The 14101-nt window shown below is 46.0% G+C and overlaps 1 annotated feature.

Moving 5' to 3' along the window:
• Positions 244-411: a silencer, noted in NCBI's record as "fragment chr3:138974590-138974757 (GRCh37/hg19 assembly coordinates)". NCBI's record gives its function as "represses an EF-1alpha promoter that drives an FKBP-Casp9 reporter gene in an ReSE screen in HepG2 liver carcinoma cells {active_cell/tissue: HepG2}" and the evidence as "EXISTENCE:reporter gene assay evidence [ECO:0000049][PMID:32094911]".

The following is a 14101-nucleotide window of genomic DNA, read 5'->3' on the forward strand; positions in this document are numbered from 1 at the left end:
TGGACAGATGAGAAAAGGCCCAGGAACAGGAATTCTCTGGTTGCATAAAAGAGGGTAAAAACCCATGAAAAGGGAAGGGACACTGCCAGACTGCCTGGCCTACACCATATGATGGAGCATTCAGTTCTCACCTGAAGGACCCAGTGGTGTGTGTGGGTATGTGTGTGGATGCATGTGTGTTTCCTCGAGTACAACTCCTAGAAGCAGAAAAATTCTCTTAATGGCTCCATAACCTCAGCAAGGATCTGGACACACAGTGGGTGCCCAATAAGTGCTTGCAGCTGGCTTGTTGCCCCAGAGCCTGGCCTGGCAGCTGCTCCTGCTGGGTGCACCCATCAGCCACCTTCCCAGGGATGTGGAAGTGTTTGCAGTGGGAGTGAGGGATCCTTCCTGGATTCCCTTTCGACTCTGATGAGCTCCTTTCCCATGAACTCCCTGCCCTTCCGGCCACTGAACTAACATAATCTAATAGAGCAGCTCCCCAGGTGGCCGGGAGTAGCTGAGGGGTGGGAGAGCCTGGAAGCGCCTCTAGGGTTCCAGCTCCTTTCTAGGATCAGAGCCCCTCTTGGGAACTGTGGATTCCCTAGAGATGGCCCAGAGCATCTTTTCTCAGTCCTACCCACCCCTTGGTGTTTTACATTCATTCAACAAACATTTATATGTGTACATGCCAAGCACTGGCCTGGGTGCTGGCAATGCAGTAGTAAACAGATGAAAATCTCTGTCCTTATTGAGCGTATATTCTAGTATCTCTTTTGGTGGTATGAGGCATTAAAATATAATAATGTGTGAGATAGTGATAAGTACTAACAAAAAATGAAGTAAGGAAAGGAGATGTGAAATATCTAGTGGAGGAAATGTTGAAATTTTAGAGTATCCAGGGAAGGCCTCATTGAGAAGGTAATTTTTAAAATTTATGTATTTTTATTGTGGTAAAATATACATAACATGAAATGTACATCTTAGCCATTTTTAAGTATATAGTTCAATGGTAGCTACAGTCCCATTGTTGTGCATTCATCACCACCATCTGTCTCCCGCACTTTAAAGTCATCCTATGCTGAACTTCTGTATGCCTTAAGCAATAACTCCCCATTTCCCTCTCACTTCAGCCCCTGCTAACCCCTGTTCTACCACCTTCTGTCTCTAAGAATTTGACTACTCTGTGCCTCTTTTTCTTTCTTTCTTTCTTTTTTTTTTTTTTTTTTTTTTTTTGAGACAGACTCTTGCTCTGTCGCCCAGGCTGGAGTGCAGTGGCGTGATCTTGGCTCTCTGCAACCTCCGCCTCCTGGGTTCAAGCGATTCTCCTGCCTCAGCCTCCAGAGTAGCTGGGACTACAGGCACGTGCCACCATGCCCGGCTCATTTTTGTATTTTTAGTAGAGTCAGGGTTTCTCTGTATTGGCCAGGCTGGTCTCAGAGGTCCTCAGAGGATCTACCTGCTTCGGCCTCCCGAAGTGCTGGGATTACAAGTGTGAGCCACTGCACCCGGCCACTCTGTGCCTCTTATTAGTGTAATGATATACCACATATATGCCTTATATAAAAACTACTCATATGCTCCTCACACTACCTTATATAAGTGGAATCATACAAGATTTGCCCTGTTGTGTCAGGCTTATTTCATACAACATAATGTTTTCCAGGTTCATCCTAATGTAGTATATGTCAGAATTTCATTCCTTTTGAAGGCTGAATGATATTCCAGTATGTGTATATACTACATTTTGTTTTTCCATTAATCTGATGAGGAATATCTGGGTTCTTTCCGCCCTTTGGTGACTGTGGATAATGTTACTATGAGCATTACTATATAAATAACTGTTTAGTCCCTGCCTTCGATTCTTTTGCATATATACGCAGAAGTAGAATTGCTGGATCACATAGTAATTCACTGCTTAATTATTGGAAACTGCCATACTGTTTTCCACAGCAGCTGTACCACTTTACATTCCCAGCAAAAATGCACAATGGTTCCAACTTCTCTCACATCCTTGCCAGCACTTGTTTCCTGCTTTAAAAAAAAAAATAGTACTGATCCTAATGGGTGTGAAGTGGTATCTCATGGAGGTTTTGATTTGCATTTTTCTAATGATTAGTGATGTTGTCTTTTCATATGCTTATTTCCTATGCATATGCCATTTGTATATTATCTTTGGAGAAATGGCTAATTAAGTCCTTTGCCCATTTTTTATTTGGGTTATTTGCTTTTTATTGTTGATTTTTAGGAGTTCTTTGTATATTCTAGTATTGATCCCTTATCAGGTATATGATTTGCAAATTTTTTTTTTCTCATTCAATCGGTTGCCTTTTCACTGTGTTGGTAGTGTACTTGATGCACAACAGTTTTTAATTTTGATGATGCCCAATCTATTTTGGTGGTGTTGCCTATGCTTTTGGTATTATATCCAATAAATCATTGACAAGCTCAATGTCATGAAGTTTTTCTCCTATGTTTTAAGAGTTTTATAGGTTTAGGTCTTACATTTAGGTATTTGATCCTTTTTGAGTTAATTTTCATATATGATGTTAGTTAAGGTTCCAACTTCATTCTTTTGAATGTGTACATTTTTCTTTTCCCGTATCATTTATTGAAAAGACTGTCCTTTCCCCAGTTAATAGTTTTGGCCCCCTTATTGAAAATCATATGAGGGAGAAAGTAATTTTTGAGTAGAGACCTGGAGGAAGTGAGGAAACTAGCTTTGTGGATGTTGGGGGAAGAGCACCTGCCAGGGGAAACAGACAGTGCAAAGGCTCTTGGGGGCACATTAAGAGGGTGGGTTTGGCTGCAGCGGATTGAATAAGGGGCAGAGGGGTAGGAGGTGAGGTAAGAGAAGTGGGGGATGTCGAGGAGGGCAAATCATGGAGGATGCTGTGGGTCACAGAGAACTTTGCTTTTACCCTGAGCAAAACTGGAAGCCACTGGGGGGCAGGGACATGTGGGCAGAGGGCCCACATGTCCATAAATAGGACATGATCCTATTTATGTTTCCACTCTGGTTCATATGTTGGGAATAGTCTTACGGTCCCAGGACAAAAGCAAGAGACCAGTGAGGGGGACACTCAGGTGGAAGAAGATGGGAAACTGAGCCAGGGAGTGAAATGTAGTGAAAATCTGGACAATAGGATTAGATAACAGACCAAATATCGGGTGTGGTGAGGGAGGGGGAGGGAGGAAGAGAGAGGGGGAAAGAGAGAAAGGGGGTGAGGACAGAGGGAGAAAGATAAAGGAAGACTGTGGCAGGCATAGGTTTTGGGGCAAATTTAGGACTTCAGTTTTGGATGTGCTAAGTTTGAGGTACCCATCAGTCATCTAACTGGAGGTGTCACGTGGGAAATTGGACCTGGGTCTGAAGTTCAGGAGAGAGGTCTTGGCTGGAGTCATGGAGGAGGCAAGGAGTTTCGTATGTTGCTTTGTGACCTCAGGCCAATCCCTTTCCCTCTCTGGGCCTCAGTTTTTCTCTGGGCAAAATAAAGCAGCTGGATGACTACTCTCTAAGTAGTGCCTTCCAGCTCTGCTGTTCCCTGGTTCTAATTGGAGAGGAATAGAAGCAGCAGCTCTGGGATACCCAATTTTCCACAGACCTTCTCCTCTTTCTAGATGACTTTTCTCTCAAGATCACTTCCCCCAACAGATTGCCCAGCTACCAAGACCCAGGGTTCATATCGTGGGGAACCTCTTAGGTAAGGAGCGTAGGCAGCCCCAACTCTAGCCAGCCTCTCTCTGCCATCTGGGCTCCTTTAGAAAGATAATGTGGGAGCCACACAGTGAAGGCTTCTGGGTGAGGAGAGGCTGGCTATGTAGTGGAGTGATTTGGAGTGTGGGCTAAATCCAATCTTAAATTCTAACCACTCTTAGCTTCCAATCTTTGCTTGTGACCAAAGAGAATATAAAAGGGGAATTCTTTCCAAACCAGTATCTCTAAGTTTATTTAATTTTATTTATTCATCTCTGTAATAAAAGTAAATAACAGCTAACTGTTCTAGTGCCAAGTGTCTGGCCCACGTTGGCTTAATTTACTCTCATAGAATATTGTGAGGTGTGTGTTCCTCCTCTTACTTTAGCATCCAGGAAACTGAGGCTCAGAGAGGTTACTTAGCTTTCCTTAGGTCACACAGTAGGGAAGTGTTAAATTTGAGGTTGTTACAGAAATATATTCAGTCCAAAAGAATTTAATAAAGACACATGAGGAAGTTGAGGCTAAGGTGAAAATCAAGACAGGAAAAAGAAATAAGGCTCTTGTAACATAAGGTCCTGTAGAGTTGCTGAGAGTAAGATGACCGTTGACTCTGAGTTTCTTAGCAACCAAGGCAAAGAGGGATATGTGATCAGATATAGAAGTCATAATATTTACAATATTAAAAACTAGCCAGGTTAGAAGAAACTTGAGTTACTGGTGCTGGGACTGTGAGGACTGTTGGAAGGGGCCAGTTTTTCATGAGGATGAGATGTGATGTGATGGATGATGACCTCAGGAGCAGGAGCATCATCCCTCAACAGTGACAACAGGACCCTTTATGAGGAGGCATCTCACCATGCTCTGTAGTATAGGCCAAAGCTCAGTTCAGTAAAAGCGACAACAGGAGGAATGAACAGGGAGGCCAGAGCCAGAGCCTGGGGAGCAGGCTCATTGTACTGCAAGGAGGCTGCCTCATAACTTCAGGCACAGAGAGGAGCCCCTGCTGGGGATGCCGGAGATGCAAGCACTGCTGAAATTGGGGGCTGGGGGAGTCCTTTATTCTTATAACTCCTTGATACCTCCCAACAGGCCAGCTCACCTCCCTTTAAGGGCAGAGCTGACATCATTCCCTGGGGACAGACATTGCCCTGGGAACCCTAAGCCGTGTCCCTCTGTTCAGTGCAGGGGCCAGGAACCCCAGATCAGCACTCCTCCAGCCCTGCCCCCTGGTGTGTGGCCTCCAGGACATCTATGCCTATAACTGCCTCCCAGGAGCACCTCCTCTAGGAGAACCAGCAGCCCTGGGAGCACTTCACCAGAAAGCCCTTGGCTGGGAGACAGGCAGTGACTTTGTCCTTCTAAATCACAGAGGGACGTACAGCCAGGTACCCTCTTGCACAGAGTACTGCTGCATAAATACTTGTGGAAGGAAGGGAGGGAGGGAGGGAGGGAGGGAGGGAGGAAGGGGGGTAGGCAGGGAGGGAGGGAGGGAGGGAGGAAGGGAGGGAGTGGTAACTGCACAGAGTACTGCGTATAAATACTTGTGGAAGGAAGGAACAAAGGAAGGAAGGAAGGAAGGAAATCGTCAGAAGAGAGTTCATATTTTGTCATGCTCTCTGGACCTTTCTCCCTGAGGTTGGGCTTCTAACCTTCCTCCTTCATGCTCACAGCTCAGAATGGGTGCACAGTCTTTGGGAAAGTAGTCCAGGGCCTTGAGAAGTAGAGTCTGTCCTTTAGCTTTGAGACAAGGCAGCCACACCTGTGGGGCTGTTTGGGAGTAGGGTGAAGGGTAGGAGGAGTAAATCTGTGGAGTCAGCAGGTCTAACGTTGAATCTCACTCCATGTATTGGCTGAGAAGCGGTGGATGTAAGATGCTACTTCTCTAGGCCTTTCTCTTATGTAAAATGGAGATAGCACTACCTACATCGTGGGGGGATGTTGTGGGGATTAAATGAGGCACAGCCCCCGCCTGGCAAAGCAGAAGCTCCATATAAGATTGTCCTTTTTAGGGGGAAAATAATCTCAAATTCTGGCTTGGCCATTACAAGCGGTGTGACCTTGAGATGTCAGTTTACCTCTCTGAGCCTCAGTTTTCTCACCTGCAAAATAGGAATAATAATATTTACCTTGCAGGACTGTTAGGAGGACTGAAAAAAAAATAGCATATACAGCCTCTACCATAGTGCCTGGTACACACTAGGTGCTCAGTAAGAGGTGGTTGTAGTCAGGGACTAAAGAGCGTTCTGTGGAGTGGAAGGCCAGAGAAAAGACAGATAGTTGAGGGCCAGGGCAGTCACGAAGCACTTCCTGGAGGAGGTGGCTCTGGTGCTTAGCCAGATCATGTTGGGGTTATGTGTGTCTCAAGGGAGAGAGCTGTTCCTCCAGGGCAAGGCTAAGGTGAGCCAGGGTGGGAGGAAGAAGCACGTAAGGGAGCAGGGAGCTGACCTGAAAGGGAAGGGAGTGTATTTGGGGATCATCAGAACAAAAGTCTTTCTGGCAGCTGTGGAAGATCATAGAGGGCCCAGAAAGGCCAGCAGAGGAGAATAGGGAACCATTTGGGTGAGGCAAGCCTTGATCCCTTTCTATAGATGTCAAAACCCAGACTCAGGGAGGGTAAGTGGAATAACTTGCCCAAAATGAATGAAGATCTTGATACTGGCATGCCGGTCTACTGAGAGCTGATGCACAGGGTGTATACTTTCCTGAGTCTTTAGCACAAAGACAGAGGCAGGGACAGTCCTTAGCTGGCTGGTGAAGGCCTTTGGAACAGCAAGAAATACAAGGAAGGGGTGCAGAGCTCAGCCTGGGCTGTTTGGAAAATAACACAGATGAGGCTGAGTCTCTCTTGGGCTGTTACGGACATTAATAGCCACAGACAAGGGCCCTCACACATCACTAGGGAGAAGATTTCAAAGACCCTTAAAAAATCATTGGGAAACATTTAAAAAGGAAATTGCTCACTAAGCAGCCAGAGACACGCCAAATGTGCTGGCGTATAGCTCACCAGGCGATGCTTGTAATCTAATTGCCCATGAGCAAGAGTTTAAAACAATATTTATGATGTGGAAAAATAGCCCATGATTTGATTTGTACAGAAAAAACATGCCTAATGAGTAAATTAGATTTTGATCTTGCTGGCTTGGGTCCTATGGGTGGAGCCTGGCCCTTTGGATGGGCGAGGCTCTCCTGCCCCTTAACTCCCTCTCCTCAGTACCCCCAGTGTGGTCTTGGTGACAGCCCTGTGCCCTGGTATGATGTCCAAAGGCAAACCCCATCTCTCTCATGTCTGCACATAGCAGCCTGGAAACACAACCGCCCTTTTTCTTGGGTCAACCAGTCCTTTAAGTCCCACCTCCCCCTCCAGGAAGCCTTCCAAATTGCTCCAGCCCTCTCTTTTCATCTCCAGCAGCCCTGAGAGTCTGTGATACACAGTTCGGCTTCGATGAGACAGAGTTGTCTCTTAATTAGGCCGTTAGTCACTTGGATTGTTTTTGCTTGGTCTCCTGAAGGCACCTTGCGGTCCAGTGAATATTGATTGCTTTTGCCTACCCATTCCCCTTCTTTTGGAAAGAGCACCCTGATTTTCCTTAGGGAAACTACGCGGGCCCCCAAGTCCACGTCATCTGGGCAGGGCTGACTATACACAGCCCTTGGCTCCCTGGGCTGGAACCCTAACCTAGCCAATCAGAGCACTGTTCCCCTCAGCCACAATGATTGGTTCAGGGATTAGCATGTGCCCCAGCTGGGCGCGGTGGCTCACGCCTGTAATCCCAGCACTTTGGGAGGCCGAGGCGGGTGGATCACGAGGTCAAGAGATCGAGACCATCCTGGTCAACATGGTGAAACCCCGTCTCTACTAAAAATACAAAAATTAACTGGGCGTGGTGGCACACGCCTGTAGTCCCAGCTACTCAGGAGGCTGAGGCAGGAGAATCGCTTGAACCCAGGAGGCGGAGGTTACAGTGAGCTGAGATCGCGCCACTACACTCCAGCCTGGCAAGAGAGTGAGACTCTGTCTCAAAAAAAAAAAAAAAAATAAAATAAAATAAAGAAAAGAAAAAGAAAAAGAAAAGAAAAGCATGTGCCTCACACTGGGCCAATGAGAGGCCTCCTTGGGCAGTGGCAGGAAGAGGCATTCTTGTCTCTGGAGCTGCTGAGCTGGGAGAATCAAAACCTGGAGCTTGAGGTGGCCATCTGGTCACTTGGTGTGGGGAGTTTGCCTGAAAAGTCAGTACCTGGGAAATGGAGCTGAGAAACAGAGAGAGAGTTGTAGGGCCATGGTCCAGCCCTCAATCCAGCCGTGGAGGTCCATGCACTCTTCATTCCAGTACCTTCTCCCCTTTTGTTTGTTTCATCCGGAATTTAGTCTTATACACTGGGACCTGTAGTTCTGACTTAGGCACAGGACTGGTGCCCAGGAGTGGGGAGCAGATGCTTCTAGAATTGAATGAAATTTACGAACTATTAAAAACAAAACAAAACAAAACAAAAAAAAACTGTGGACATCATTTGGGCATCTGGGACTGAAGCCAGTTTACCAGAGTTTTCCTGAATGCCTGCTCTGGATTGGCTCCTCCTCTAGGTGCTGGGGATGTAGAGAAGAACCAGAGCAGACCCAGCCCAAAGGAACCCACACTCTGGTAGGGTAGATAGAGGAGAAGCAGGCTGACTGCAGCCAGGGACTGAGAGGAAGCAGCCGTGCCGTGTGCTATGGAGCATCGCTGGGACCATGGGGCTGAGAGCCCTTTTGGAGGGGCAGGCAGAGATCAGGAGGGTGGGCAGGGCTTCAGAGGGGAGATGAGAAAGGCCCCCAGGGAAGAGTGACAGGGTGAATGGTGAAGTCTGTGGCGGTTCCAGTACTGCTTGGATAGTAGCATTGAGACCCCCAACTCCATTCCTTGGGGAAAGAGGCCCAAAGCTGCTGTTCACCACCTGATAGAGGTCACTTGGCTGTTTATCTTTCTACCCAACCCACAGCTGCCCCCTCACCTGGGAGATTAAACTAGAATAGTGCAGTGATTGTCTGAGGGCCTGCGTGGGTATTAAGGCCAGCTGGAAGGGATGGGGCTTTCCAGCCACACAGTGAGGCAGGGATTGTGAGTGTGGATACCCATCTGCATAAGCCAGTTACGAACACCATAGTGTTTATTATCTAGGGCCTTCATTACATCAACAATTTAATGACATTTGCTAGGTATTTCCTTGTGGCAGGCATTGTGCTGGGGTTTTATACTCAATCTTTTATATACTCACTTCTTGACAGTGAATAACCTGCCTTGGATCTCACTTTTCAGATAGTACTTAGGAAAGCTTCAAGCCCTAAACCAAGCGACGCCTGTGACACTTGGCATCTACTCAGGATTGGAAAGTCAGACCAGCAGACCATGCTGGAGGCTCCATTCTGCAGACTCATTGATGGGGTGACAAAAGCCACAGATACCCAAGACACCTGCTTATCTCGTCCAGGTGAGGGTCTGCTGGGCAACTGTGATGATGGCTTACTATATAGTAAATTGAACTGAATTCAGCTGACAGTCACCAACTGCCTACAATTTCCTGATCCTGCTTCCCTCTCCACTTACCTGTCAAAGAGAGAATAAAAAGCAGGCCCTAGGTGGAAATATAGACACATCCACCATCATTTCAATAGTATAGGATGCATGCAATGATGTACATATGCATCCATCCATGACAAGATACAGAATAATGCACAGAAAAGATTAATTCTGTCTCTGTAGTCAGGAGATTCATACAGAGACCCACAGCCAAGCAGGGATCAGAGCTGGGAATAAGTAGCCTTCAAACAGCAAACTTGTTGCACAGTGAGATACTCACAGTATCAGGGCTGGCATTGAAGATGACTCCCATATGTCATCCCCAGGGAGGTAGATACCATCACCCCATTTTATAGAGGAGGCAGTTGAGCTCAATATGCTTATAACTTACCGAGGCAAGACAAGAGCAGCAGGATCAGGATTCAAACTGAAGCTAAGTATGCCAAAGTTTGGGCTATTTTCTCTATGGCTCACTGCCTTTTTGGTGTCTGTGGCTTTTGTCACCTCATCAGTGAGTCTGCAGAATGGAGCCTCTGGCATAGTCTGCTGGGCTGACCTTCCAATCCTCAGTAGATGCCAAGTGTCACGGGGCTGAGAGGGATGGCAGACACTCTCATGCGTCTCACCCCCAACTTTACAGGTAGGGAGGCTGAGTGGGGACAGAGTATAGTTTCTGCCTCTCTGGCCTGACGCTCTACACTGTCCCACTTTTCTGATTGTGGGGATGGATGTCAGACTTCAAAGGCAGTAGCACGCTGTCTCTCCATTCCCAAGCTCATGAGAAAGTGCCTAAATCCCAGAACAAAGGCTGTTCCAGACTCACATCACCTGCTCAGCACTTAGCTTGGGGCTTAATTAAAGGAAACAGAGCTTGGAGTGAGAGCGAGGAGTGAGTGAGAAAGTCGATAACACTAAAGATGCCGCCATTAATAAAGCCAGACTCACTGCTAATATCCCACTTGAATTCAAAACAGGACAAATAATTGGAAATCTGAGCGGGGTGAGTGGTGGGGCCAGTGGGATGGATGACAGAGGTCTGGCAGCTGTGGGAGACCTTCTGTATGGGGCGACATGGCTGGCACAAAATCTCCTGGAGTGAGTAACTCAGTCCTGGGGGCCAGAGTCCTCCTCTAGGCTGAGAGCCACAGGCTGAGGCCTGAATAGATGCACTAGCTGATGCTGAATAGCTGGAAATGTCAGGCACTGTTCTTGGTATTCTTGGTTCTTTACAGATATTATTTCATTTAGTCCTTAAAAATATATCTATATATAATCTCTACATAAATATCTATCCCTCTGGCTGGGCACGGTGGCTCACGCCTGTGATCCTAGCACTTTGGGAGGCCGAGGCAGGTAGATCACTTGAGCTCAGGAGTTCGAGACCAGCCTGGCCAACATGGTAAAACCCCATCTCTATTTAAAAATATAAAAATTAGCCAGACGTGGTGGTGTGCGCCTGTAGTCCCAGCTACTCAGGAGGCTGAGGCAGGAGAATCGCTTGAACCCAGAAGGTAGAGGTTGCAGTGAGCCAAGATCACACTACTGCACTCCAGCCTGGGCGACAGAGTGAGGCTCCATCTAAAAAAAAATCTATCTCTCACTCTCAATTAGATAGTATTACTGTCTCCATATTACAGGTGAGCAAACTGAAACACAGAGAGGTAATTTGTCCAGGATCCCTAGTTTGCAAATGGCTGCACTGGGATTATGAGTCTATGTTCTATGTCCTCAAAGTGTATGTGCCTGACCATTAGACTACACTGCCTGCCTTGAGTGAGCTGGCCTCTCATCTCCATTTTACAGGGAGGGAAACAACCCCAGAGAGGCAAGGTGACTTCCCTTTGGTCCTATGGCTAGTTAGCAGTAGAGCCAGGATTTGAACGTACAACTTTTGGCTCAAAGTGCAATCCCTAAATCACTGTTGATTGTGCTTATTCTCAGAGGGGCCTCATAGAGCCTGGGCAGGTGTGCTCACAGGCAGTTATTATGACACTGGTTGATAGCTGATGAATGCTGTACACATCTCCACATAAGCATCCCCAGAGATGAGCGGGAACCCCATATAGACCACTGAGTACCATTCAGTTGTGTCCTCATGGCCACTACCATATTCCTGCTTAACTCCTTCTTTACCCCATCTGTATCCTGCCTCATCTCCCACCCGTTCATCCCCATAGCTCTAAGGTTGGAGGTTGCTACATTGGGAGCTCTGTGCCATTCTGGACCCCGTAGGTTGGGTTGGGAATGCATTCTGCTTAGGGACTTCGCTTCATGCTTGCAGGAGGCAGAATCCATACCTATTCAAGAGGCAGCATAGCAGAATGAAAAGGGCACAGATGTTGGGGTCAGACAGGCCTCAGTGTGACTTCTGATTTCTGAGCCTCAGTTTCCCTATCAGTACAGTGGGCCTACAGATCCAGAGAAAAGGTAGAAAAGCCTGGCTCTATGGGTCCTACTAAAACCTGAGGCAGCCTCTCTCTGGAAAGGGAAGGAAGAGCAGAAGGAGGGCCTGCAGAGTGCAGAGCACTGATTCCTCCCCCTAGTCCGTTATGTGGAATGAGGAGTCCTTAGAACCGGAGGTGAGCATATTTAGGGTAAATGAGAGGTGGTGTGAGCACTGAGGAGGGCCTCACTGCTCTGAGAATGCCGAAGGATGGAGATGTCAGCTGATCCAGCAGACACAGGGCCAACAGGTCATGAGATGGTCAGGGCACAGCTTTATCTTTAGGGTCATTAACCTAAAGGACTCCAAAGCCAACCATTCCCCATAGAAGTAGCTTGGACGGCTGCCCTCCCCTGTGATCCTGTCTCCTGGCTCCATTAGGCCTGAAAAAAAGGCCCCTCGCTCACATTCAGTCCTGGTCTGAAATGTTCTCGTCTCACCTGCTCAGAGATGCTGGGAGCACTGCTTTGGCTTCTTTTGGTGGGTGAGGTGCAGAGAAGGTAAGAGAGTGAAGGGGCATAGTGAGGAGAGTGGGCAGGGCACACTGGAAGGCTCTGAGATCACTGTACTAGAGACATCTCCCCTGGTTTGACATTGACTCTAAGGACTTTGACCTCTGAATAGTCCAGCTGTGATGGCCAATGACAGGGACTCTGTGCCAAGGACCAGAATTGGCAAACATTGTAGCCATAAATAGAAGTGGATTCAGTGGCATGCTGGCAAATGTTTAACAGCCAGCTTTCTGGAATGGAGGAAGCCCAAATTTGTAGCATTTACCAATTTCTGTAGTGTAACTAAATACTCACTCCATGGCTGATCTGTGTCACTGAATGTGCCATTGGGAAGAAGTGTTCATGCTTGCTTGTTATGAACCTGTGCATACTGGCTTCAGCACACCACAGGGCAGATTCACCATGAGGCTAGGAGGCCTGGGCTTCATGGCTCCTCCTGTGCAGGGATTCTCTCAAAGCTCATGCGTCGTCCCACATGGTCATATATTTTTGTACAGTTGGCAAAAGTCAGATATAATAACTATAATTGGTTAAGATTCCTACCTCTTTCCATTCTAACATCCCCTCCTTCTCACTTCTTGAATTGAATGGTTTGGAGTAGCCATGGGCATGTTGTAATTTCTTTCCTCCTTGTAAATAAGCGTTCACTTTTGTACCTTTTTTTGATTTTTAATTTTAATTTTTTATCTTAAAGAGGGCCTCAAAACTGATACGTACTTTCAGCTGCGAAACCTGGATCCACGCTGGGAGTAAATTAGATTGCAGTTTATCCTCCAGAAAATTGTGTTGATTGTTACTCTGTATCTTGGAGTCATATTGGTGTATATAAATGGATCACTGGATAATTTTGTCCAGTTTAGCTTCCTAAAGCGTCATTTAAATTATGTCAAAGCTTTGCTCAGCACTCTCATGGCTCCCTCTTGATCCCTTAGACTGGTATATTCAAGGCTCTCTATAGATTGACACCCATCTGGTTTCTGAAAATACTTCTTTATTCCCTGTACATCCTCTAAATAAAACTCTTTTCCCCTTGTGCCTTTGTTTAGGTTGTTTCCCCTGTCTGGAGTGCCTTTCCCTCTCCTCCCTCTTGGACTTTGCCAAATGCCTTTTCTGTGTCTATAGAGATGATCGTGTGGTTTGTGTTCTTTACTCTATTAATAGAGCGTATTACATGAATTGATTTTTCAGATGTTAAACCAATCTGGCCTTCCTGGGATAAATCCCACTTGATTATGGTATATAATCCTTTTTATATGTTGCTGGATTTAGTTTGCTAGTATTTTGTTGAGAATTTTTGCATTTATATTCATAAGAGATATTGATCTGTAGTTTTCTTTTCTGTGATGTTTTTGTCTGGTTTTGGTATCAGGGTAATTTTGGCCTCAGAGAATGAGTTGGGAATTCCTCCCCGTTCTACTTTTAGAAGAGTTTGTGAAGTATTGGTATCATTATTTAAATGTTTGGTAGAATTCACGAGCAAAGCCATGTGGACCTGGGCATTTCCTTGTGGGAAGTTTTAAAATTATGAATTCTCTTTTCTTCTTATAGGTCTATTTAAATTTTCTGTTTCTTCTTGAGTTGGTTTTGGTAGTTTATGTTTTTCTAGGAATTTGTCCATTTCACCTAATTATCTAATTTGTAGCATATGGTTGTTCATAGTATTCCCTTATAATCCTTTTTTTTCTGATTTTAGTTTTTGAGTCTTCTATCTCCTTTATATATTTGTCAGTTGGGCTAAAAGTTTGTCAGTTTTATTGATCTTTTCAAAGAATGGCATTTGGTTTTGTTGATTGTCTCTATCGTTTTTCTATTCTTTATTTCATTTATTGTTACTTAAGTCTTTATTTCCTTTCTTCTGCTTGCTTTGTGTTTAGTTTTATCTTCTTTTTCTGGGAGAAAGTACTGAGAAAAA

This window comes from Homo sapiens, chromosome 3, assembly GCF_000001405.40.
Source record: "Homo sapiens chromosome 3, GRCh38.p14 Primary Assembly".
Taxonomy (NCBI): domain Eukaryota; kingdom Metazoa; phylum Chordata; class Mammalia; order Primates; family Hominidae; genus Homo; species Homo sapiens.